The sequence below is a fragment of the Homo sapiens genome, chromosome 16, assembly GCF_000001405.40.
Source record: "Homo sapiens chromosome 16, GRCh38.p14 Primary Assembly".
Lineage (NCBI taxonomy): Eukaryota > Metazoa > Chordata > Mammalia > Primates > Hominidae > Homo > Homo sapiens.
Window position 1 is genome coordinate 90,004,871 of NC_000016.10, and position 22,203 is coordinate 90,027,073.

Sequence of the window (22,203 nt, forward strand, 5' to 3'; positions counted from 1 at the left end):
TTCGAATGCGCAGTGATGCTTTAATCCCCCTGTTTGCAAACGAGCTCTGTGGAAGCTCAGCAGGAAGGATGGAAAGATGGGGAGGAAGACCCTGGCGGGTGGAAGTGTGGCCAGGGACACAAGGCTGCCCTTATGGGACTGAAAGAGAAAGCTGCTGGGCTCTGTGTGACTGGAAACCAGGGAAGGAGACCTGGCTGAGGCAGGAACTGGGTTTGCCAGCAGTGCGGAGGGGCAGCGGGTGGCTCAGAAGTGGGAGCAGGTACACAGAAGGAGCTCAGGGCATGCCTGGGGCATCTCCAAAGCTCTGCTGAGAGTGAAGGCCAGGAGCCTGTTTTCCTTCCCCAGAAGTGTGCTCATGGGAAATGGGGCAGGGGGCAGGCTGGCTTGGGGATGGAAAGTAAGCTTACACTTTGATATTAAACTCATTCTTTGACTTGCTGTCAGGCAAGAAGCCCATTCTGTGAGCTTCAGCATATAAGCATTGGGAGGGTGTGAGCTGGGGCTCCCAGACACCCCCAGAGCAGAGGGAGCAGGGCCTGTCAGCCTCCTCTGCTGCTCCTGGACAGAGACCCACGGGGTCCCATGGGCTCCAAACCTGCCCAGCAAGTTTAAGGGCCGTGGGCAGGCCTTGTAGCCGGGCAATGGGATGTGAGCAGAAACGAGAATGTGGCCTAGCAGTGGGTGCAGGACAAGGAGAGGTGAACCCCACCCCGAGAGCATTCCGGGAGGTGTCATCAAGTCTCTTAGGCAGTCTGGTGATATTTGGTGTTCTGAGCTAAGGAGGGAATGGACTTGTCTGTCACGCAGGGGCCAAGAGAAGCAGGTGCAGGTCTTAGAGCTGAGCCTTGGGGAGGGGACCCTAGTGAGACAGCGCCTCCGTGGAGTAGAAGAAGGGGCAGGATGGAAATCAAGGTGGGAATTTTGGGGCCGCTTCTCCATGTGTGCTTTGCTGGACAGCACATTGTCCCATTAGCCACTACCAAACCCGCCTCTGGCTTCTGAGCTTGGCAGCACAGGAAAACGCGGAGGTTGGAGCACCCCCAGGAGTTCCTGGAGTGGCTGTCACAGGCCTGGGTCCCCTTCACCCCAAGGCCGCCGTGGGCCACTCCATTCCTCAGCACGTTCCTGGCAGTGACTCCGTGACGCTGTCTTCCTGACTCGGGGCCCAGGAACGAGCTGGACGTAAGGCCACTGGGCTGTGCTTGTGCTGGGGCTCCCAGAGGCATCCGGGGGCCCCGTGTGTCCCCCAGGAAAGCCGGCTGGTCTCCAAGTGAGGCGAAGACCCGTGCCCAGCAGACAAGGCCGGTCTCGGGGCTGGCAGAGAGCTGCCCCCAGGGTGTGTGTCAGGAGGTGACGGCTGGAGCCTCGTGGGCGGGTGAAGTGTGTCTGCTGGGTCAGCACTGCCCAGATCTGCCATCGTGTTCGGACCCCATCCCTGCAGGAGCTGGGGCAGGTGGAGATGGTCTAGTCCTCCTGGGGCCTCTCCACAGTGAGAAACGTGTCCAGGACTGTGGCCTGCCGCTCGGGGTCGCCTAGGGGCTGCTTCTCGTGGCTCTGCTCAGCCCTTGTCCTCGTCCAGGAAGGGGAGCGCAGGTAGCCGGCCCGGGGCAGCGGGTGCAGACCTAGGGGCATGCGGGAAGGGGAACTCGGTGTGGCTGAGAGGCCTGGGTGGATGCTGCGGAGCTCCAGGTGCCGCCGGCCTCCTGCGCCACTCCTGCCAATGCTCTGCACCAGCCCCCTGCACCAGGCATGCACACATCTACCTCTAACGGGAGGCCCCCACCACACACTGGCCCCACCAGAGAGGTGGATGTTGTGGTCTGGGTGGGGCCTGGGCAGGGTCTTTTCTGGTGCTCCCCGGAGTCACTGTATAGTCTAGGCTGAGCCTCTCCTGTTTGGTCATTAAGTGACCCTGGTGGGGCCTCCCTAAACTGTTCCCCCCGCAGGTGTCCCACCTCAGCCAACCACCCTCCATGAGCCCTGCAGGCCTCTTGGAGCCTCTGCCCCATCATGGGCCTTGTGTGTCCCCGGCCTCTTGGAGCCTCTGCCCCATCATGGGCCTTGTGTGTCCCCGGCCTCTTGGAGCCTCTGCCCCATCATGGGCCTTGTGAGTCCCCGGTGCAGGCTCTGTGGGGCTGGGGATTCGGGTGGGCTGGAGTCTGAGCCCCTCACTCCACCTCCCCAGCCACAACAGCCATGCCTGGGCTCACGGGCTGGGTGGGAAGGGTTGCCGCCAACATGGAGCTGGTGGGAACTGGCCAGGGTCAGGCAATGGCCTTGTCCTGGAGGTGAGCTGGGGGCTGACTCATGAGGCCCCATTCCCTCCCAGACACCTGGGGCTGCAGCAGCCTGGGACACACAGGCCGACACCCCTTCCTGACAACTCCAGGAACCATGGGAGCAGCTGGCCACCGGCAGGAGTCACAGTGGGGCTGGTCCTTTTAATGAGGTCCTGAGTGGCCTGGGGGGTTGGGAAGCAGAGGCTGGGCCAAACTGTCCCATGCGGAGAAGGCTCGGCCCTGATGCTCTCACAGTTACTGAAGTTCACACAGGTCACGTCAGTGTCCTTCACTGGTCACTGTCAGAGACTGAGGACGCGCTGTCGCATCCTCATGAGTCCTGTGCTCTCGTCACGGCTTAGGAAGGAGACACGACAATGGCCGTGCTGGGGGCCCTGCTCGGCAGTGTGAGGACACTGGAGCTGCCTTCAGGCCAATGGCAACGCTCCCGTGGGAATCAGAGGAAGTTAAGTGAGCTGAGGAGGGGCCCGGGCTGGTGACCACCCCCACCTTTCGTTCTTGGCCCATTTTATGATGAAAATTCACATTCATTAAATTCTGCTTTTGAGGGGACAGTGGCTTTAGCCGTCTGTTGCTCACTTGAAAAGTAAAGTTTTAAGCAGCTGTGACGGGGAAGTTGCTTCAAGTTGGGCAGATAGCAGCGTGGTGAAATGAAGTGCTGAGGGATTCTTGCTAAAACACACGCACACCTCCCAGGACTTCCCAAGGGGCCTCAGCCCACCACCCACACCTCCCAGGACGTCCCAAGGGGCCTCACCCCCCAAACACACCTCCCAGGACTTCCCAAGGGGCCTCACCCCCCAAACACACCTCCCAGGACGTCCCAAGGGGCCTCACCCCCCAAACACACCTCCCAGGACGTCCCAAGGGGCCTCAGCCCACCACACACACCTCCCAGGACGTCCCAAGGGGCCTCAGCCCACCACACACACCTCCCAGGACGTCCCAAGGGGCCTCAGCCCACCACGCACACCTCCCAGGACGTCCCAAGGGGCCTCAGCCCACCACCCACACCTCCCAGGATGTCCCAAGGGGCCTCACCCCCCAAACACACCTCCCAGGACTTCCCAAGGGGCCTCAGCCCACCACCCACACCTCCCAGGACGTCCCAAGGGGCCTCACCCCCCAAACACACCTCCCAGGACTTCCCAAGGGGCCTCAGCCCACCACGCACACCTCCCAGGACTTCCCAAGGGGCCTCAGCCCACCACCCACACCTCCCAGGACGTCCCAAGGGGCCTCAGCCCACCACCCACACCTCCCAGGATGTCCCAAGGGGCCTCACCCCCCAAACACACCTCCCAGGACTTCCCAAGGGGCCTCAGCCCACCACCCACACCTCCCAGGACGTCCCAAGGGGCCTCACCCCCCAAACACACCTCCCAGGACTTCCCAAGGGGCCTCAGCCCACCACGCACACCTCTCAGGACTTCCCAAGGGGCCTCAGCCCACCACCCACACCTCCCAGGACGTCCCAAGGGGCCTCACCCCCCAAACACACCTCCCAGGACGTCCCAAGGGCCCTCAGCCCACCACACACACCTCCCAGGACTTCCCAAGGGGCCTCAGCCCACCAGGCACACCTCCCAGCCCAGCCCTGATGCCGGCCTCACCTGCTGGGGACTCGGTGTTGAGGTTCTCGTCGTCCGAGTCAGCAAAGACCTCGGCCAGCTCCTGGTCCGACATGTCGGTGAGCTCAGTGAGGTCCAGGAGGTCGAAGTGGACCTCCAGAGAGGAGACGCTGCTCAGAGGCTCTGAGGGCAGAGGGGGTACAGTCAGCCCTCAGGCCCTCCCACAAGGCTGCTCAGAGCCCCGGGGGTCTAGGAGAGAGTGTGCTGTGTCCTCCCACAAGGCTGTGGGTGAACCACAGCTTCCTGCAAAGCCCACACCGGCAGGATCTGATGAGTGTTGCGTATACTCATGACTAGAAGGCTTTCACTTGACAGATGGTGCAGCTGAGGCTCAGAGAACCAGAGCTGCAAGAGCCTAGCACACAGCGCCGGACCTAGACCCCCCAGGGAGTGTTTGGACAGGAGGTGGACCCTGCTGCCTTGTCTCTTGGGGGAGCTCACGGGGTCCCCATAGCGTGCGCTGGGCAGGGAGCAGTACTTACGCCTCCTCTCCGTGACCTGCAGGAGCCCCGGTGCTGGTACTGGGATGCCCCCGACCTCCTCCTCCACAGGCGTGTGGCCATTGTCCCCTGTCCCCTGGGCTGGGACGCCCAGCGCAGCCTGCGGCACCTCAGCCTCCTTAACGATCTCTGCATCCAAAGACACAGTGTCACCTTGAGATCCACAGGGCTCCCACATCCCCCCAGGACGCGGGGCTGGGTGTGAGGACTTGGCACATCCAGTCCTTTGAAACTCTGGGCAGTGACCAGCAGGTGATGGGATGGCTGGGCTTGTGGCCTCATGCCTGGACCCAGACAAGGGGTTGAGGGGCTTCAAGGAGGCTGCTCCTTCCCCTTGGGCCCTGGCCTCCCCTAGTGAACAAGGAATCTGAGATCCAGATCACCTTTGGTACGCAAGCACCCATGAAAGCCGACCATGCAGGCGTGGAAGTCCCACCAGGGCCCGCGTGGCTGCATTCCAGTGCCGTCCTGGCCTCTGATTTCTAGCTCGGCCCAGGGTCCCCTGAAGGATCGCCCATGGATTTCCATGTCCAGCCTCTTGGTCCCCTTCAAACCAGAACAGCCCCTCTCCACTGTGGACTGACTTTTCCTTTTAAAAACTGATGTCGTATTTGAGTTCAGAATAATACATTCTCATTAAATGAAAGTTACAAACCAGGAGGAATAGGCAGGCCTGCCATTCTGTGATCCCTTAGCCACCAACCATGCCTCACAGTTGAGCAAATATTCTTCCAGGTTTCTCCCATGTTTATTTATTTTTTTTAGATGGAGTCTCGCTCTGTCACCCAGGCTGGAGTGCAGTGGTGCAATCTCGGCTCACTGCAACCTCTGCCCCTTGGGTTTGAGCGATTCTCCTGCCTCATCCCCCTGAGTAGATGGGATTACAGGCATGCACCAGCACGCCCGGCTAATTTTTGTATTTTTAGTAGAGACGGGGTTTCACCATGTTGGCCAGGCTGAACTCCTGACCTCAGGTGATCCGCCCGCCTCAGCCTCCCAAAGTGCTAGGATTACAAGGTGTGAGCCACCGAGCCTGGCCTCATTTTTTTTCACAAACGTAACTACCTTTTTTTTTTTTTTTTTTTGAGACAGAGTCTCGCTCTGTCACCAGGCTGGAGTGCAGTGGCGCGATCTCGGCTCATTGCAGTCTCCACCTCACGGGTTCAAGCGATTCTCCTGCCTCAGCCTCCTTAGTAGCTGGGACTACAGGTGCCCGCCACCACACCCAGCTAATTTTTTTTTTTTTTTTTTGTATTTTTACTCGTGATCCACCCGCCTTGGCCTCCCAAAGTGCTGAGATTATAGGCATGAGCCACCGTGCCTGGCCCAACTGTTTCTTTTATATACTTAACAATTGTTTTGTCAGATGAGAGCAGGAGGCCCCTTGGCTGCTGACCCAAAGCCGGGGACATTGGCGAGTCTTATGTCCATCCCTCCACAGATCCCCTCAGCCCCTCCTCAGCTGCTCACCCTCTCATCCAGGGCCACGCCGTCCTAGCGGCCACCTCACTTGCCTCAGGCAGCCAGTGAGTCCTGTTAGTCAGAGTCAGGCCTGTCCCTGGGTGCATGCCCCCCTTTGGCCCTAGGCCCTGTGGGTCTATCTCTCAGGGAAGAGACAAAGCGCTGGCTTCCTTCCCCCCACCCATTGCCCCTGCAGGAACCTGTTTCCAGATGGCCCTCCTTCCCTCAGCTGCTTCCTGGACCCTGCATGGCAGGGGCCTTCTGGGGACACCAGCACCTCCCACCTGAGTGGGTGCCCAGCGCACGCTTGTCAGATGGATAGGTGCCTTCCCGTTGCTGCCAGCAGCACCCTGAGGACCCTGTGGGGTATTTTTGGCAGCCCCCAGCGGTGAGCACTGATCGTAGCTGGGTGTGCTTGAAGCCGAGGGGAGCAGCTGCTGCCATGAGGCTCTTGCTGAGGGGGCTGCAGCTGGGGTTCACAGCGCCAGCAGCTGCCTGTGAGGGGTGGGCCTGTCCTCCCCCGTGGCACTAGCTGGCAGCCTAGATACTGCCAGGTGGGCCTGGAGCGTCCGTCCCGGTGCACCCCCACCCCTCCCCAGCAGAGCCAAGGGAGCTGAGGCCCGCAGGTGCCCGGCCTCCTGAGTGAGGGGCACCGGTGCAGGGCTGGGAGGTCCCCAGTGGCTTAAGAGCTGGGCAGTGTGGTTGTGGGCAGGTGGCCTGGCAGCGAGCCGAGTGTTAGGCTGTGCCTGGGGGCAGCCCTGTGGCCTGACAGTGTCCCCTCGCCCCGTCGGCCGTGTGGTCATTCTGTGTGGCCCACCTGCCTCCTGTCTGAGAAGCCGAGTGCTGTGTCATGGCATGGCCCGTTTCAGGCCTGGGGGTTGGGCGGGCTGGACGGGGCTCTCGCGGAATCTGGTTTCCACCTTTCCACTGGCATCTGGAATGAGGTTTCTGAGCATCCTAAAGGGTCAAGTTACTGGTGTCCTGGCCCACCCCCAAGCCCAGCAGGGATACCTCTCCGCCCAGAGGGCACAGGGGACAGGGGGTGAGATGTGGACTCTGTTCTAAGGCTGTGAGCAGGGGGACCTCCCGGACACCAGCAGGAAGAAGCCTGCTTGACCATTGTCCATAGCGCTGAGGGGGTGCCCAGGAGAGGGGACTCCAGGAGACCCAGCCTGGCCCTTGGGCCCTTCCTCAAGGAGAGACAGTGTAGACCAAAGCCCCAGGCCCCCGCCCACAGTGTGTTCATGTCCTGCTGGACTGTGCTGTGGTCACAATTCCAAAATGCTTCCACACAGCTCAGAGCAGTGGCCGTGGCTGCAGAGGGCGTAGCCCTGTCCTAGCCTCGAGTCTCAGGAGGGTGCTGCAGCCGGCCCTGAGGGTGCGGCAGGGGCCTCAGACCTGCCAGGTCCAGGACAGAGCAGGCGCTGTCCCTCTGGCATGGCTGACCCAGAGCCCTGAGAGCAGGTACGAGTGGGGAACCAAGGTGCAGGGATGTACGTCACCGGCCAGGAGGCCCTGCTCTCAGGATCCCCAGCTGAGGAAGGCTACAGGGGCTCTTACCTCCCCAGGTTTACAGGCCAGGCATGAACTCCATGGACACCCTTACCCCAGAGCAGCACTCTGGGGTGTAGCTGTCAGCTCCACCTCTGTCCCTCCCCGCCCCTCCTTCTGTCCTGAGGGGCACCCCCTCCTCTCCTCTCTCTTTTTTTTTTTTGAGATGGAGTTTCGTTCTTGTTGCCCAGGCTGGAGTGCAATGGCGTGATCTTGGCTCATCAAAACCTCCGCCTCCTGGGTTCAAGCGATTCTCCTGCGTCAGCCTTCCGAGTAGCTGGGATTACAGGCATGAGCCACCATGCCCAGCTAATTCTGTATTTTTAGTAGAGATGGGGTTTCTCCATGTTGGTCAGGCTGGTCTCAAACTCCTGACCTCAGGTGATCCGTCTGCCTCGGCCTCCCAAAGTGCTGGCATTACAGGCATGAGCCACCGCACCTGGCCTCTCTCTCTCAAGAGACAAGGTCTCACTGTTGCCCAGGCTGGAGTGCAGTGGTAAAACCATAGCTCACTGCAGCCTCAACCTCTTGGGCTCAAGCGATCCTCCCACTTCAGCCTCCTGAGTAGCTGGGACCACCACTCCTGGCTAATTAAAATTTTTTTGGTAGAGACAGGGTCTTGCCATGTTGCCCAGGCTGGTCTCGAACTCCTGGGTTCAAGCGATCATACACCCTGGCCTCCCACCCCCTCCTCTCTGGCAGCCCCCTAATATCAAGGAAACCTGGGGCCAGAGTAGTTCTGCAGAGAATCTCTGGGGACAGCACCCTCAGAGGCAGGTGGGGCAGGTGGTTCTGTGTTAATAATGACAGCTAGGTGTGGTGGTGCACACCTGTGTGGCAGCTACTCGGGAAGCTGAGGCAGGAGGTCCGCCTGAAACCCAGGAAGTCAAGAATGCAGTGAGCTGTGATCGTGCCATCCAGCTTGAGCAACAGAGCGAAACCTTGCCTTAAAAAAAAAAAAAAAAAAAAAGACAGTGGCTTATGGTTTTCTAGTACAGTCCCAGCATTCTGTGTTTATTGACTAACTCCATTCTCACCTCACCCTAACTCCCAGCTACATGGGGAAGACTCTGAGCTTTGTACTTGAGAGGAGGAAGCTGAGGCACAGAGCAGCTCAGCGTCTGTCCCCAGCATGCAGCACAGGGCTGGCCAGGGACGCAGCTGGAGCTCTCAGCCATCACCTGTCAGCCTGTTCCTGATCATGGCGTGGAGATGGGAACCAGGGATCCCGGTTCAGGGCCCAGCAGAGGGAGCAGGAAGTCCCCACTTGCTGGCTTAGGTTCCCTGGGTCCTGACCTGGGGGGACGTGGATCTCTGAAGGAAGGTGGGACAGAGGTGGCGTCTCCCCTTGTAGTCCCCCTCTCACTGGGCGGGGCCCCTCATCTAGACGAAGGCTCTGATTCATTCATTCACCCAACCAAGACTTCCGAATCACCCTCTGTTCTGGGGACATGGCATAGACAAAATAGATGATTCCTGCCCTTCTGAGGGACGGCCAGTGCCAGTGAGCAGTGCGGGGCTGTGCTCCCATTTTAGGGGGCATCTGGGGAGGGTGCTCTACCAAACTTGGAGGAGGAGCCTGGAGGTGGGAGGGAGCCGTGTGATACTGGGTGGGGCGGGGGGGGACATGCATAAAGGCCTGAGCAGAGTGCATTTGAGGACAGCTGGGGGCTGTGAGGCAGGGCAGGGGTGGTGTGTGCAGGTCGTGTGGAGATCGTCAGGACTTTGGTTTCTATACTGAGTAAGCTGAGAGAAGCCGTTGAAGGGTTTTGAATGGAGTGGGACAGCATCTACCTGAATTTTTAAATTATTATTATTATTATTTTTTTTTTGAGATGGAGTCTCGCTCTGTCACCAGGCTGGAGGGCAATGGCGCGATCTCTGCTCACTGCAAACTCCACCTCCTGGGTTCAAGGGATCCTCTTGCCTCAGCCTCCCAAGTAGCTGGGATTACAGGCGTGCGCCACCATGCCTGGCTAATTTTTGTATCTTTAGTAGAGATGGGGTTTCTCCCTGTTGGCCAGGCTGGTCTTGAACTCCTGACCTCATGATCCGCCCGCCTTGGCCTCCCAAAGTGCTGGGATTATAGGTGTGAGCCACCGTGCCGGGCCAATACCTGCATTTTTACGACGAGGCCAGCAAGGGCACAGTCCAGAGGGAGGTAAGTCTGCAGGCACCCTCTGCTTGTGCTGAGATGGAGGTCCCAAGCAGGACCTCAGCCAAACAGCAATCCCCTTCCCCATCTTGCACTGGAGAGGGGGCATGCGAATGCCAGCAGTCCTCATTATAGATCCTGGGGTCCCAAGGGGCTACAGACAGCTTCTGGGACAAAGCTCTAGCCCTGTGGAAGCTTCACAGCAGCCCTGTGTGGAATGAATATCATAGTTGACTCTTAAGAAGTATCCTTTCGGCCGGGCGCGGTGGCTCACGCCTGTAATCCCAGCACTTTGGGAGGCCAAGGCGGGCGGATCACTTGAGGCCAGGAGTTCGAGACCAGTCTGGGCCAACATGGCGAAACCCCGTCTCTACTAAAAATACAAAAATTAGCCGGTGTGGTGGTACGTGCCTGTAGTCCCAGCTACTCAGGAGGCTGAGGCAGGAGACTCGCTTGAACCTAGGAGGTGGAGTTTGCAGTGAGCAGAGATCATGCCACTGCACTCCAGCCTGGGCGACAGAACGAGACTCTTGTTTCAAAAAAAAAAAAAAAAGCATCTTTTCTTATTTCCACATTCTTGAGACAGCAACACATCTGTAGCTGATGGTGTCAGCGTTGATGAGATCCAGTCCTGTAAGCATTTGAAGCCACCAGGTGTCTAGTCTGGTCCTTCCCCATCTCCCTTTGGCCTGGTCTTTATTCTGTAAAGTCTGGTGCCGTGGTCTGTGTTGGGGCTTTGGGGAAGGAAAATTTGGAAGATGCAGCTTCTGCCATCAGGACACGAATTTTTTGGCCAGAAGAATGTGATACCAGGGACAAGACCTGAGCCCCCAGGAGGGGCACGATGGATCTTGGCATGAAGAGCGTGCAGCTGCTATAAGGCATGCTCGTGGGTCCTCAAATGACTGAGCCTACTGTGTAATACATGCAGCATACAGATATGTGTTCGTTGACCATATCAGTAAAGTTCTGGTCAACAGTAGGCTATTAGCAGTTAAGTTTTTGGGGAGTGAAAAGTTCTATGTGGATTTCTGACTTTGAGGGAGGTGGGCACCCCTAACACTTAACGTTGTTCAAGAGTCAGCTGCACATGCATGTTCATAGCGTGATTCACAGTAGCCAAAAGTGGAAATAATCCAATGTCCTCAGTGGATCAATGGATAAACAGAATGTGGTCTGTGCCTACCATGGAGTGAGATTCAACCCAAGAAGGACGGCGGTACTGACACCGGATATCACATGCATGAGCCTGATCACCTCATTCGAGTGAAGGAAGCCAGGCCCAAAAGGACAAATGCTGTGTGACGCCGTTCCTAGGAAATGTCCAGAATAGGCAAGCGCGTAGACATTCCATCAGTGATCGTCAGAGGCTGGGGGGTGGGCAGTGGAGAAGGGGAGAACGGGTATGGGTTTCTTTCTGGGGGGGTAATGAAGATATTATAAAATTAGATAGTGGTGGTGACTGCACAATTTTGTGAATATACTGAAACAGTGAGTTGTACACTTTAAAAGGGTGAACTTTATATGTGAATAATATCTCAATTTAAAAACAATCCTCAATGGAAACAAAGGTTGATCTTGGCTGGAACTGATAGGCAAAGCCGGGAGGAAATGACAGAGACTCACATACACTGTGAGTCGGCCACACGCCAGACCCCCAGGCACAGCCCCAGAGCAGGCTGGGACTGGGTAGAGCGAGAAGCATCAGCTCTAAGCGGCTTGTATCTAGTTCATGGCTGCATTCCTGGGACCTAGCGCACAGTAGGTGCGCAGTAAACAAATGAGGGTGAATCAACTAGCCCACGGTTAGTGAGGGACTGCGCTAGGAATCACCCAGGCCTGTCTGACACCCTCTCAACAAGCTTGTAGGAAGAAGAAAATTCCTCACGGGCGAGACCTGCTGCTTTTCCCAGGGTGGGAACCAGAGGCTCAATGCCAGGCAGGCATGGGGGCGGGTGCTGGCAGCCCCCAAGGTCTCCAGGGCCAGGGCAGAGGCAAGCAGGTGTTTCTGATGTCCCAGGAAGGACCCCAGAGTGTGGGGACACAGCAATGTTCTGGTCCTTACCCCAGCACAGCCCCTATCAAGGGGGACCCAACCCCCCTGCAGGGGCTGCTGGTGCCCTCGCTGATGAGTGGGCACTGAAGGAGCACCTCAGCGAGGGAGCCAGGAGTTGGGGTGCCTCAGCCCGGCCCCCCAGGCTTCCCTGAGGGCTGATTGCTGATGCCCTGTGCTCTGCTGCTGACCTATTTTCCAGCACATTCTCGACTGGGAAACTTGGCCCAAATCCTGTTCCCTGTTGTGTGCCCAGGGCCCCGTCCAGAGCATCGAGGAGGCACTTGGCACACACCACTGTATGGACGGATGAGCTAATGAAGTGAATGAATGAATATCATAAAACTAAATGGCTGGAAGGAGAGATGGTCGCAGAGGCAGGGGCCACCTGCCCCCCATCCCCCAGCACCTTCCTCTCTGGATTTGGACCCCCAAAGTATTTCAGGGATGCTGGAGTGGCCGTGTCTAGACTCTCAGCCTCCTGAGGATCCCTCTGTCCCTGTGGACCCTTGGGCAGACTGAGTTGGGGTGGGTTACAGCCCTGGCTTCCAGGTGGGGCCCTCAGAGAGGGCACAGGTCACATTCCTGTGCACACGTGCACCTCCGTGTTCTGTACATTTCATATTAAGAAATCATTAATTCCTTTAGTTGCAAAAATAGTGTTTTAATAATGCTTTATAAAAATCCTATTTTGCCGGGCATGGTGGCTGACGCCTGTAATCCCAGCACTTTGGGAGGCCGAGGCGGGTGGGTCATGAGGTCAGGAGATCGAGATCATCCTGGCTAACACAGTGAAACCCCGTCTCTACTAAAAGTACAAAAAATCAGCCAGGTGTGGTGGCGGGCGCCTGTAGTCCCAGCCACTGGGGAGGCTGAGGCAGGAGAATGGCGTGAACCCGGGAGGTGGAGGTTGCAGTGAGCCGAGATCGCGCCACTGCACTCCGGCCTGGGCAACAGAGCGAGACTCCGTCTCAAAAAAAAAAAAAATCATATTTTACAGATATTTCTGAATTATTTATCAGTGAAATAATATGTCTAGATTTGGTTCAAACCACTAATGAAGGGAGGTTGGTGGTAGTCTGGAGAGGAGGCTGTGGGCCTGGGGGCTGGGATGTCACACATGGGCCTTTGTCCCGCCGTTCTCTCTACTTTTGTAAGGTTTTCAAAAGTAAGTGATAAGTAATGACAGAGTCACCAATGTGTGATCTCATGAGGTTCCACAAAGTAGGCATCACTGGCCACTTTGCAGACAAGGAAACAGGAGTTGGTGTCAAGAGCGTGAGCCCTCAGAGGACAGGGCCCTGTCTTCCCACTAACTCCCCACCCCAGGCAGGGTACTGCACAGAGCTGCGACCTGTAGGTAAATACCTGTGCACTGATTGAGTCAGGTGTCTGAAGCCCCCAGCCAGTGACTGATGGGCTCAGAAACTGAACCTGCTTTCTCTGCCTTTTAAGCTGCTGGGAAGTCCTCCTTTTTTCCCAAAGGAGGAGGGAAAACATATTAACCTCCACTCCCAAATGCCTTGGGCTCCCACAGCCCTGCAGGGGAAGCAGAACTGTCTCCACTGACAGAAATGGAAATTGAGGCTCACAGGGGCCTGACTGCCCACAGTTCACAGCTGGAAACAGCTCGGAGACCCCCAAGCCCTCACTCCCAACCTCCAGGCTTCCTATGTCCACAAAGCTGCTACTGGGAATACCCAGGAGCCTGGGACTATCAGTGTTAAGAAAGAGCTCTGGTCCCTCCCACAAATGACAAATCAAAACCCAAACCCACCAGCCCTGGGGCATTTGTCCCTATACCTTGGACTGCAGATACACAGGGTGGGTGGACCTGCTCCTCCCGGGGACAGCCCTTCGGGCTCCAGAGGATGCCACTGTGTGCGGCTGGGGGACTGAGAGGTTCCCATGTAGTTCCAGAGCGGCAGGCTGGCCTGCCTGTGCCCTCAGGCACCTGCTGGCTCCCTGGAATGGGAGCTCTAGGAAACCAGGAGGTGGTGGGCTTGGCTGGGCAGGTGGAGGAGTCTGCAGTTTGCATCCAAGTTCCTACCTAGGCAAATGGAACCCCGAAAGCCCTTTTGGAAAAGTCTCTGATCGGGAAGGGGGGAGGTTCTGAGAGCTTTCTTCCCGTTACCGACTCCAAGGTCCTGCAGTAGGGCCTCCACCATCAGGGCAGGGAGCGCTCCACGCGCACCTACCCTCCCCGATGAGCGTGCGCCTGGGCCACTCCCGGACCAGCCACCCTTGCAGCTCTGGAGTCCCCGGCAGGCCGCGCCCGTGCATGCCCCACATCCCCAAGACCCATCTCAGCCCCTCGCCCCTGGCAGGATCCCTGCCCGCGAGTCTACGGCCCTCGCCCCCCGGGACTCGCGGCTGGGCGAACAAAGCGGACGCGCTTGCAAGCGGCCAGCGTCGCCCTCACGCCCCACCGACAGGGACCCCAAACTCCAGCCCCGGAACCCCCCTCCCCCGCTCCCCGGGTCACCGGCTGGCTTGGCTGGGAGGGGGCTCAGGACGAAACTCCGGGCCACCCACCAAGGAGCGTGCCGGGCACGGCTTCCCGGGCCGGGAGCGCAGAGAACAAGGGGGCGGAGACTCGGTCCGTGTGCCCCCAGCCCCGCGCGGGGACCGCGCCCGGGAGGTGCCCCTGGCCCGCCGGACGACCCCGAGCTGCCAAAGGGGTCTTCGCGACTCCCGGGAGCGGCGAAGGGTGAGCCCTGGGGGGAGGGGCTGCGGCTCGCTGCGGGGAAGCGCTGCGCGGGGGTCTCGGGGGCTGGGGCTGAACTCACCTCCGGTGCCGGCGCCCTCCGGGGGCTCCATGCGGCCGGTGCGGTCTGGGAGGGGCACGGGCGACGGCGGCGTCGCCTGGCCCGGGCGCCCCAACAGCTGCGGCAGCGACTCGGCCCCGGCTCCGGGCGCAGCGCATCGGGGCAGCAACCGGGGGGCCGCGGCGGCAGGGAGGAGCCCGCGGGGCGGGGCGGGGCGCGCAGCTGCTCCCGGGCCCCGGCCCCCTCCCGGCGCCCCCCCAGCCGCAGGACAGGTGCGGCCCCGCCCCGGCCCGCGCGCGCCCCCTGCTGGCCCCTGGCCCAGCGGACCCCTCCCCCGCCGACCCTTCCCTCGCGGGCCGCGCCCCGCCGCGGACACCACCGGGACCTGGCTGCGCCCTCCCGACCCCGGCCGGGCGTCCGGGGCTCCTGCGCACTCACTTGGCGGCCGCGCCCGCTGGCGTCCTCTTGTTCTCTTCCAGGTACTTGCGTGTGGGGCGCCGACTGTGTGCGGGCGCCCCTCGGGGCTGGCGAGGGGCACAGGAGGGGCCTGACTCGCGCTGGGTAATGACAGACTCACAGAGCGCCCTGGATGGCGCGAATTAACGCGGGGGGCGGGTGGGGGCGAGGGCGTGTGCTTGGGAGGCTGGAAGGGGCGGGATGGGGGATGGGAGGTAAGGAGAGGGCGGCGGGCCCGGGCTGCAGAGAGCGCCAAGGCAGTTTCGATGAAACTGACCCCCATGTCCCTATCGCCCAGATTCAGCGATTGCCAGCTCCTGGCCTGGGCCACTGCTTCTCTGTCCTCATTCACTTCCCTCCACTGCTGGGTCATTTTGAAGCAAATTATATACACATTAGATCATTGCATTTGTAAGTACTTCAATATTTATCTCTCAAAGAAAGTCCGTTTGCAGGAGCATTGACTCATGCCTGTAATCCCAGCCCTTTGGGAGGCTGAGGTGGGAGCACAGCTTGAGCTCAGGAGTCCAAGGCTGCCGTGAGCTATGATTGTATGTCTCAAAAAAAAAAAAGAAAAGAAAAGAAAAGAAAAAGTCTAGTCTTCATAAACACTCTTGTTAACCCAGCATCCAGGCCTTCACTGAGTTGATGCCGTGGCCTGAGGCGGTTTACCTGGTGGATAGTGGGTGGCAGGAAGCATCAGACATCAGACAGAGGGCAGTCGGTTTGTTTGTATTAACATTTGCTCTGGGATTTTGCAGGAAACTCAGATGCCATTTATCTGGGTTTCTGAGCTGCACAGCTTGACACTGAATGAAAGTATCTTAAGCCACATATGTGAAGAAAAGGCTCTTTTCTAAAAATCTGAACTCGAATTCAATATGAAAAGAACAGGTCGCAGTGGGCCCTGTCGGGATCCCAGGGAGCCGCAATTCAGGGCTCCCTGAATGATTCATCTCTGCAGCCCACACCGACAGACCAGGATTGCTCTTAGCTTGTGAAAAATGAGTACCCTGTCTAGGCTATCCTGAGCTAACCCTCCTATTCTTGCCCTTTTTGCTGAAAGGAATTATTGTTAATACAGCTATTTAATTCAGGACACTCATCCAGACTTCTGAAGCAAAAAGCCAATCAGCATGAAGCTGCTAGCATATTGGTTTTGTGAAGTAAGTGTTAAATTATAATAATTACCCCCACTGTGCTCTCCAGCGTCACTGTCTGACCACCCTGTCCCAGGGGGAGGAGGCCCCTCTCAGGCCAAGGGAGTCTGGCACAGTGATGCTGGCTCCTGGTTGCCCAGGCACAGTGACCAGCCAGACTTCACAGAGGCCTCAGGGCTTACTATAAATAAATCACTGCTTTGTGCAAGCTGAGCCAATGCAGTTCTTCCAACTGGCTGCTCCTCTCCAAGAACAATCAGGACTTAGGTGGGCAAACAGGAAGTCTCTCATCACAGTGGTTCTCAGATTCCCACCACTGTGTGGGTGCCTGAGGCCTGAGCAAACCCAGCTCATGTGGCAACTTCCTCCCCCAGCTGGACAGGAAGACCTAGGTCCACCAGGCCTTCTTTCATTTCTCACACTTTGCCCCCAGCACAACTTTCTACGAGCATGGATTCTGTACTCTTCATCCCCAGACACATGGGAGAACAAGATCTGCTACAAGACCTTTTCTTTTTTTTTTTGAGACAGGGTCTCAGGTCTCATTCTGTTACCTAGGCTGGAGTGAAGTGGTGTGATCTTGGCTCACTGCAACCTCCACCTCCAGGGCTCAAACGATTCTCCCACCTCAACCTCCCAAGTAGATGACCACTTTTTAAGAAGATGTTAAAGATGAGAGCTTAGGGCTGGGCGTGGGGCTCACGTGCTCCCAGCACTTTGGGAGGCCGAGGCAGGAGGATCACTTGAGGCCAGGAGTTTGAGACCACTCTGGGCAATAAAGCAAGACCCCGTCTCTATTAAAAACTTAAAAAAAAAAGCTGGGTATGGTGTCTCACACCTGTAGTCCTGGCTTCTCAGGAGGCTGAGGTGGGAGGATTGCTTGAGCCCAGGAGGTCGAGGCTGCAGTGAGTTGTGATCACAGCCTAGGCGACAGAAGGAGACCCTGTCTCCAAAAAAAAAAAAAAAAAAAAGCACCTGTTTATGACAAACTCAGCTTTCTGGGTGACATAGATGGTTGTATGTAGGTAACAGGGTGGTTTCACGGATGGCAGATTCATTTTAGAAATTGTAAAATGGCTAGCAGTTTTCAGAACAAGAGATTAGTTAGAAAAGGAAAGTGGCAGCTGTTTGTTTTCTGCAGGGCCTGTCGGGAAGCCTCTGGTTTCTTTTCATCCGTGAGGAGTGGGGAGGAGGCCTCTTCAGGAAGAGCAGTTTATTTTTGTGAAAGGAATACTTACTGATTTCAAACATTTGGAACTAAACTGGAACGTATTTTTCTTTCCGATTTCTGCGTTTTTGAGGTGTGTGTAAACCCACCAGCGCAGCAGCTGGGAGGGCCCTTCAAAGGTGGGCGGGTGGGGTGAGTGAGGCCCAGGGGATAGAGTGTTTGCCCAGATTTGAATCTCATTTGGGGAAAGTTTCAGAGGCTTGGGTGGCTGATTGATCATTCCTTCAATGGTCCTTCATCAGCACGTCTTTACTGAGCACGTGCTGTGTGCTGTTCTAGGCGCTGAAGGATAGAAGTGAAGGGTTCCCCCCTCGTGGAGCTTAGGTTCCAGCAATAAGCAAAACATGCCCTGCAGCGAAAGGCTTCTGGGCTGCCGGCGACATTTTCCCAACGTTCACAACCGGGTTCCTTCCGGACGCCCGTCTCTAGGGACGCACTCCCGCCTTTGGCAGGGCCGCTGCCCGGCGGAGTCTCGCGAGGATCTTGTGACTTATCGCGGCATCGCCCAGCGGTTGCCGGGAAACGGCGTGGCTTCCGGGGGCGGGCGCCCTGGTCCCGGAGTCGCCGCTGGGCCTGTCCGCTGGCGTCATGGTGAGCAGGGGCGGGAGCGGGGCTGGGGTCCTCGGCAGGGGCCCGGAGACCTCGGGGCAGGGAGGCCTCGGTACACGGAGACCCTGGGAATGGGAGGCCTGGAGCGCTGGGTTTCTGGAATTGAGAGCTCGGTGCTCTTGTGGGGGTCTCCGTGGGGCAAACTCAGGATGCTCCCGGCCCCGGGGCCTGGCAGCACTCGGGACTGAGACCTGGGCTGTCCAGAGCCCTGTGCTCACAGGGGTGGTCATAGAACGCCCAGGGCCCGGGGTCGGCGGCGCACGGTCCCCAGAAGAGTGAACATGCGTCAAGGGGACTCTCATCCTGGAATGGCAGACTCGGTCTGTTGGATCCCTGGGACCTAGGGTTTCAGCTCACGAGGCTTTGCAGAGCACCAGGGTCCCCATGGAATAGAGCCGGAGGCAGGAATTACCCTAAGACCTTTGGTCTCCCGGATGGAGAGCCTGGGGCACACCAGAGTGGCTAGAGATCCCTCTACACCAAGGAGGCCCGGACAGGTCCAGTGCCCTTGGAGTGCCCAGGGCACAACCTTGGGATACAGGAACCACTGTTCCCTTGGAAAGCCTGGCAGGAGTCAGGCCCAGACCGAGAAGAGGAAGGCGGAGCTCGTGGCCTCATCAGCTCCATGTCTGTCTTTCTCTTGTAAAGGGCTCTCCCTTTGTGGTACAGGAATTGTCAGTAACTCAATTTCTGGGCAGGTGTGGCAGGGTGGGTTTCAGCTGGTGGGGGGAGGAAAGCTCTGGGAGCCCCACCAAGTCCCTGCAGCTGGCTGTGAAGGTCCCAAATGCTAAGTAATGCTGAACCTTCCTCCACTGCCTTCAGGGCTTTGTGATGAGGTAGCCTTCTTGGAGTGGAGGGATTAAAAAGAGAGCAGTACATTACGAATTAAATTTAAGTAGATGGGTTTTCTGACCCAGGAAGGGTCTTCTGAAAACCGACTATGAAAGAAACTACCAAACTAGGCCAGGAGTCTGGGCGCGGTGGCTCACGCCTGTAATCCCATCACTTTGGGAGGCCGAGGCAGGCGGATCATGAGGTCAGGAGATCCAGACCATCCTGGCCAACATGGTGAAAATCCATATCTATTAAACATACAAAAATTAGCTGGGTGTGGTGGCGTGTGCCTGTAGTTCCAGCTACTCGGGAGGCTGAGGCAGGAGAATCACTTGGACCTGGGAGGCGGAGGTTGCAGCGAGCCGAGATCGCACCACCGCACTCCAGCCTGGCAACACGTCTCTTAAAAAAAAAAAAAAAAAGCAGGGTGTAGTGGCTGACGCCTGTAAACCCAGCACTTTAGGAGTCCAAGGTGGGTGGATCACTTGAGGCCAGGAGTTGGAGACCAGCCTGGCCAACATGGTGAAACCCTGTCTTTACTAAAAATACACACACACACACACTCACACACACACACACACAAAATTAGCCGGGTGTGGTGGTACGCACCTATAGTCCCAGCTACTTGGGAGGCTGAGGCAGGAGAATTTCTTGAACCTGGAAGGTAGAGGTTGTGTAGTGGGATTTTTAAGGAATTAGAGAGACCGATGGGGTTCAGGAGGATATTTATTAATTATTTAGGTGCACCGGCCCAGTCAGATTAAAATCCAAAGGACTGAGCCCTGAACAAAGAGTTAAGTTACCTTTTAAGCTTTTCGTGGGGCAGAGGGAGATCTGTGCAGGGGGAAGCATGCTTCAGATGTGAGAAATAAAGGCAGTTGTTCAGTTGAAACATGCATTACATCATTTCTTACTTTTTAAGGAAAAACATGTTTTGCGACTTGAGTTTATCTGCCTAGTGACCTTGCAGCCGCACAGCTACAGAATCAGGGTCTTCACAATGCCTGGGAAGGGAGGAGAGACAAGGCTCACTAGCCGCAGAAAAACAGGCAGTTAATTTTTAAAGGACTCCAGCTCTTTCTCTTTTTCAGGGGGAGTTGGGTTTTCTTATATATAACTGAGTTTCTGCTTACACACTTTTTAATTTCTTTTAATTCCTGTTCCAGTTGCAGTGAGCCAGGATTGCACCACTGCACTCCAGCCTGGGTGACAGAGCAAGACTCCATCTCAAAAAAAACAAAAACAAAAACAAAAAACAAAAAAATGCAACAGCAAACACAACAGCAAACACTAAACACAACCAAACTACTTCTGTTTCTGTTAGGTTGTGGGAATATGGGCCTTGGTCTGTTGGATCCTTGGACCAAGGAATATGGGTGATATTTCTGTTTTCTTCTCATCAGTGTTTTCTAAAATTTCCACATAATATTTTCTCTCTCTCTTTTTTTTTTTTTTTTTGAGGTAGAGTCTTACCCTGTCACCCAGGCTGGAGTGCAGTGGCATGATCTTGGCTCACTGCAACCTCTGCCACCTGGGTTCAAGCGATTCTCCTGCCTCGGCCTCCCGAGTACCTGGGACTACAGGTGCCCGCCACCACGCCTGGCTAATTTTTTTGTATTTTTAGTAGAGACAGGGTTTCACCATGTTGGCCAGGCTGGTCTTGAACTGCTGACCTCAAGTGATCCGCCCGCCTCAGCCTCCCAAAGTGCTGGGATGACAGGTGTGAGCCACTGTGCCTGGCTCCACCTAATGTTTTCATTCAGGACTAAATGAAACATAAATGAAGATAAATGGGCCAGTCGCGGTGGCTCACGCCTGTAATCCCAGCACTTTGGGAGGCTTAGGTGGGCAGATCACGGGTCAGGAGTTCGAGTACAGCCTGGCCAACATAGTGAAACCCCGTCTCTACTAAAAATACAAAAAATTAGCCGGACGTGGTGGTGGGCACCTGTAATCCCAGCTACTCAGGAGGCTGAGGCAGGAGAATGGCTTGAATCCGGGAGGCGGAGGTTGCAGTGAGCTGAGATCGCACCATTGCACTCCAGCCTGGGCAACAGAGCAAGACTCTGTCTCAAAAAAAAAAAAAAAAAAAAAAAAGAGAGTTCAAGACCAGCCTGGCCAACATGGTGAAACCTCGTCTCTACTAAAATACAAAAAAAAATTAGCCAGGCGTGGTGGCGGGCACCTGTAGTCCCAGCTCCTCGTGGAGGCTGAGGCAGGAGAATTGTTTGAACCCAAGAGGTGGAGGTTGCAGTGAGCCAAGGCAGCCTGGATGACGAGGGAGACTCCATCTCAAAAAAAAAAAAAAAAAGATAAATGGATTTAGGTTTTAATGTTTTTAAAAAATAAATAAAATTTCCACATGAAATTTGTAATTTTAAAAACGTTACATAGCTGGGCACAGCAGCAGTGAACTCCTGTGGTCCCAGCTCCTTGGGAGGCTGAGGTGGGAGTATCAGTTGAGCCCAGGAATTGGAGTCTGCAGTGAGCTATGTGATCACACCACTGCACTCCAGCTTGGGCGACAGAGCAAGACTTTGTCTTTAAAAAAGGTTACCGAGACATGTAGACACAGAAAAGCATGGGCTGAAGACTACTGGGAGTAGCAAAGTCAGCAGGATAGGATATGGAAATTTGTTACCTGCTTGAGTGCCCTGTAAATGGGTGGCCAGACAGAACTGCTCCTGGTGTCATGCGTGGTTTCAGCAACTTCCACAAGGGGGTGGGGTTAGAAGGTTCTCTCCCATCCTTGTCAAAGTTGCTAAAACCACGCACGACGCCATGTGCAGTTCCGTCTGGCAGCCCATTTACAGGGCTCTCGTGGTGGGTGCTGTCTGCCCAAGCTTTCTTGACCAGGCTTCTCTGAAGGAAGTTTCTCTTTGAAAGAAAGGAAACTTGTGGTTGTCACAACCGATCGTGGTTATGGAGGCATTTCTCCCTAAGCTTACTGAATGGTGTCTTGCAGGTCTTTTCCATGGTGGTCACCAATGTTGCCGCCAGCATGGTAACATTTGGCAGTGTGGTATTGAGGGTCTTTCCTCTGTTTTGCATCCACAGCAGAGGTCTTTACTTTTTACCAAGGAGTGAGTGGGTTTGGAATGGGTTCCCCCCTCTCTTAGTTTTTGGAGACGGGGTCTCGTTCTACTGCCCAGGCTGGAGTGCGGTGGTGCACCATAGCTCACTGCAGCCTTAAACTTCTAGGCTCAAGTGATTGTCCTGCCTTGGCCTCCCAAAGTGCTGGGATGACACGTGTGAGCCACTGCGCCTGGTCACCGTATACCAAGGAATGAGTGGGTTTGGAATGAGTTCCCTCTCTTTTCTTTTTTTTTTTTTTTAAGTTACAGTTTGCTTTTTGAGATGGAGTCTCACTTTGTTGCCCAGGCTGGAGTGCAATGGTGGGATCTTGGCTCACTGCAGCCTCTGCCTCCCGGGTTCAAGCGATTCTTCTGCCTCAGCCTCCCGAGTAACTGGGACTATAGGCACACACCAGCACACCT

General features: G+C 56.5%; 2 protein-coding genes across 10 annotated transcripts in view, besides 3 other annotated features; one reads left to right on the forward strand and one right to left on the reverse strand.

Annotated features, from left to right (window-relative positions):
• Positions 1–15,020, reverse strand: DBNDD1 (dysbindin domain containing 1). 5 transcript variants are annotated; one of them, NM_001288708.2, is made up of 5 exons: positions 14,858–15,020; positions 6,714–6,826; positions 4,414–4,560; positions 3,914–4,054; positions 1–1,622 (listed from the first exon to the last, which is right to left on the reverse strand). In NM_001288708.2, the coding sequence occupies exons 2-5, from the start codon at positions 6,742–6,744 to the stop codon at positions 1,465–1,467; spliced, it is 477 nt and encodes a 158-aa protein (NP_001275637.1). In that variant the 5' UTR covers positions 6,745–6,826; positions 14,858–15,020; the 3' UTR covers positions 1–1,464. The 5 variants fall into 5 exon arrangements, with proteins under 5 accessions (NP_001275637.1, NP_001275638.2, NP_001036075.1 ...); NM_001288709.2 differs by lacking the exon at positions 6,714–6,826; NM_001042610.3 differs by lacking the exons at positions 6,714–6,826; positions 14,858–15,020 and adding an exon at positions 14,441–14,586.
• Positions 2,722–2,891: an enhancer, noted in NCBI's record as "experimental_46902 CRE fragment used in MPRA reporter constructs". NCBI's record gives its function as "activates a minimal promoter by MPRAs in K562 erythroleukemia cells, with activity observed for both the introgressed and non-introgressed 16:90074085 variant alleles {active_cell/tissue: K562}" and the evidence as "EXISTENCE:reporter gene assay evidence [ECO:0000049][PMID:34662402]".
• Positions 14,705–14,844: a silencer, noted in NCBI's record as "silent region_7936". NCBI's record gives its function as "represses an Ori minimal core promoter by ATAC-STARR-seq in GM12878 lymphoblastoid cells {active_cell/tissue: GM12878}" and the evidence as "EXISTENCE:reporter gene assay evidence [ECO:0000049][PMID:35858748]".
• Positions 14,763–22,203, forward strand: part of DRC4 (dynein regulatory complex subunit 4) — a 25,328-nt gene continuing 17,887 nt past the window's right edge. For 3 of the 5 annotated variants that reach the window (NM_001286205.2, NM_001286208.2, NM_001481.3), the window contains exon 1: positions 17,810–17,854. Coding sequence is in view for 1 of the 5 variants with exons in the window: in NM_001481.3 (NP_001472.1) it covers positions 17,852–17,854 (3 nt within the window). In the remaining 4 variants the exon portion in view is untranslated. Of the gene's footprint in view, positions 14,899–17,809; positions 17,855–22,203 lie in introns of those variants that run through there. The other 2 variants (NM_001286209.2, XM_011522992.3) reach the window with 1 other exon arrangement.
• Positions 15,591–15,885: a silencer, noted in NCBI's record as "tiled region #21; HepG2 Repressive non-DNase unmatched - State 1:Tss". NCBI's record gives its function as "represses a minimal TATA promoter and a strong SV40 promoter by Sharpr-MPRA in HepG2 cells {active_cell/tissue: HepG2}" and the evidence as "EXISTENCE:reporter gene assay evidence [ECO:0000049][PMID:27701403]".

What these genes read in the sequence shown, in the direction of transcription:
- DBNDD1 (NM_024043.4), bottom strand. Translation starts at nt 5,177, where the DNA reads ATGGGAGAAACCTGGAAGAATATTTGCTCAACTGTGAGGCATGGTTGG. An exon ending in AGGCCTGCCTATTCCTCCTG is followed by an intron (nt 4,561 to 5,086) that starts GTTTGTAACTTT and finishes CTTTGGATGCAG; the next exon opens with AGATCGTTAAGGAGGCTGAG. An exon ending in GCAGGTCACGGAGAGGAGGC is followed by an intron (nt 4,055 to 4,413) that starts GTAAGTACTGCT and finishes CTCTGCCCTCAG; the next exon opens with AGCCTCTGAGCAGCGTCTCC.